The 2,906-nt window shown below is 53.6% G+C and overlaps 1 annotated feature.

The window, feature by feature from the left end:
• Window positions 1,447-2,286: an enhancer, noted in NCBI's record as "H3K4me1 hESC enhancer chr17:71983339-71984178 (GRCh37/hg19 assembly coordinates)". NCBI's record gives its function as "activates a minimal SCP1, AML or CMV promoter by ChIP-STARR-seq in primed H9 embryonic stem cells {active_cell/tissue: H9 hESC(primed)}" and the evidence as "EXISTENCE:reporter gene assay evidence [ECO:0000049][PMID:30033119]".

Below are 2,906 nucleotides of genomic sequence, written 5' to 3' on the forward strand. Positions count from 1 at the left end.
CATGCAAGGCAGGGGCACACAACTCTGCCCGCCAGGTGGGAGAGCAGGTGACATCCTGGCCACCGTTCCCTGGACGCAGCTGCCCTAGTTATTCCCGTCCTCAGCCTGCATAGCTAGGCAGTCTGTTGGCTACGCTGCTGGCCTAGCGGGGAGCTGCCATAATGTGGGAGAGAAAGTCCCCCTTTCCTTCTTCCATAGAAAGGGAGAGAACAGCCTTCCTTCAGAAACCACACTTCAGCAAGGCCAGCTTCCTCCAGCCTTTGGTTGACTTGGGGCAAGGGAGATGATGATGATGATGATGATGATGATGATGATGATGATAATAATAATAATAATAATAATAATAATAATAATAATAATAGGTTCCGTACCCATTTTCCAGGCTCTCTCACTGACTCATTTAATCCTCACCACAACCTGTGATACCAGTACTATTGATATCTTCAATTTATTTTATTTTATTTTGAGACAGGGTCTCACTCTGTCACCCAGACTGGAGTGTAGTGGTGTGATCTCAGCTCACTGCAACCTCCACCTCCCAGGTTCAAGCGATTCTCCTGCCTCAGCCTCCCAAATAGCTGGGACTACAGGTGCCTGCCACCATGCCCAGCTAATTTTTTTTTTTTTTTTTTTTTTTTTTTTTTTTAGGTAGAGACGGGGTTTTACCATGTTGTCCAGGTTGGTCTCAAACTCCTGAGCTCAAGGTACAAAGAACAGGACCCCCACCCCACCCCAAAACCCCGAACAGCCATGGCCACCTCTGCCCACCTAGGCCTCCCAAAGTGCTGAGATTACAGATGTGAGCCACTGTATCCGGCCCAATATCTTCATTTTAGAGATGAGTAAACTGAGGCAAAGGGAGGTGATGTGGCTTGCTCAAGATCACACAGAAAGTGCCAGTAGTTGGCTCTGCAGCTCACACCCTTACCCGGCTCTGAAGCAGCTCCCTGAGCCCTGTGGGGTGGAAGCAGGTGGCAGTTTTCCAAACGTAAGATGGGTGCGCTGAGCCCTTTCCCTCTCCTTCTGGGACAGCTACCTGCAGCCTTGCTGTCAGGGCCGGGATGCAGAGGGGGGCAGCAGGAGCGTGTGACAGGGACACTTACTTCTTCCAGAAATGGGGCTGATGGCACCTCATGGAAAAGACCAGGCGGGGCCTGTAGCAAGAGGCACTTGGGTTGCTGGAGGAAGGGAGGGAAGGGATGGAACCTGGAGTGAGAGGAGAGAGGGGCGGAGTCCTGGGCAGGTGACAGCTTGTGCATAGCTTGGAGGCTGTGCTGAAGACGTGAGGTTTGTCTTAGGAGCAATGGAAAGTTGGAAGGATTTAAGCAGAGCTAGGTCAGATCCTAAAGACTGGACCCAAGGGGAAAAGTAGTTAGCACAGGGCCCTCGGCTGCTGGAAAGCAAACAGGGCTGTCTTTGAGCCCTGGCCTGGTTTGCCCTGGCCTGGTTTCCTGCACCCCATCCAACCTAATAGAGGTGGGGGGTCTTGGGGGAGAACTGAGGTGGACGGGTCTTACCCAGTGCTTTGAGGACCCTCCCTAAGGTGACTCAGAACATCTGTGCAGCAGCCTAAGGCCCAGCAAAGGAAGGGACTGCTGAGGCTTCCTGCCTTGCTCCTTCCCTCGGGGTCCTGCACGCAGCTCTCCGGAATCCCACCCATCTCGGGAATACATCAAGCTATGGAAGATAACCCTGTAATGTGCAACTAATGTTCTGTGGACAGTTACACAGTGGTGCCACCGCAGACTCAGCAACAGAGGATGGAAGGCCACCCCTCCCGCAGACAGGGCCTGCCCTGCCGCCCAGCTGCTCTATGTTGGGGCCTCCCAGGAAATGAGAAAGGAGCCCAGGCACCAGCCCTGCGGCATCCTGGAGGAGCCCGTCCTGGCCTGAACACAAAGACAGAGGCCAGAAAACCCTATGGTGCTCAGAGGGGGACCCTCGGAGGCCACAAACCCAGCTAGATGGCTGTAGCAGCTGGTGCACCTGTGTTAAAACCTGACTCTGCCCCCCACTCCTAACAGCTTCCACTTGCCGAGTGCTTTGCCGACTTCACCCAGTTAAACCTTTGGAACGGCCCTGTGGGGAAGGTGTTTTCCCCACTCTGTGATTGAGGAAACAGAAGCCTACCACGGTGGTCACACATCAGGACTGGGAATTCAAACTCTGCTCTGATTAATTCAAGGCTCTCAGCTCCTCGGCCAGGACAGAAGGCAAGCCACTCATGCTCTCTGAGCTCCCGTTACTCATTTGTAAAAGACCGATGACAGCTCCCGCTTTCCAGAGTTTGCGAGGAGTCCGTGCTGGCAGAAGGCCTGGCACAGGGCTGCAACGTGGCTGCATTTGATTGGGGTTCTCCAGGGAAACAGAGCCAACGGGATGTGCATATCTAGGTCTAGAGAGATATTTAGTTCAAGGGATTGGCTCACTCGATTGATGAGGGCAGCAAATCCAAAATCTGCAGGGTGGGCTGGCAGGATGGAAAAGGGAGGAAGAGATGCAGTTGAGTCCGAAGGCCGTTGCTGGCAGAACTCCCTCTTTCTCGGGGGACGTCAGGCTTTGTTCTGTGCAGACCTTCCACTGATTGGGTGAGGCCCACCACACCATGGAGGCCCATCTGCTTTGCTCAGAGTCCATCACTGTCAACGTCATCTCATCCAAAAAACACCTGCACAGCAACATCCAGGGTAATGTTTGGCCAACTATTTGGGCACAGCCGAGTTGACAGCAAATTAGCCATCACAACAGTGAACACACACCCGTGGCGGCCGTTCTGAGCAGAGATGCTGCCGCTGCCAAAGGCACCCACAGCTGGTGTTTGTGTGTTCATGGTTCATCCCTAGGGATGTGGGAACTCACGAGTGAAAATGTGGCATGCACACAGCTCTAAAGGGGACCCGTGGCAC

This window comes from Homo sapiens, chromosome 17 (genome assembly GCF_000001405.40).
Source record: "Homo sapiens chromosome 17, GRCh38.p14 Primary Assembly".
NCBI lineage: Eukaryota > Metazoa > Chordata > Mammalia > Primates > Hominidae > Homo > Homo sapiens.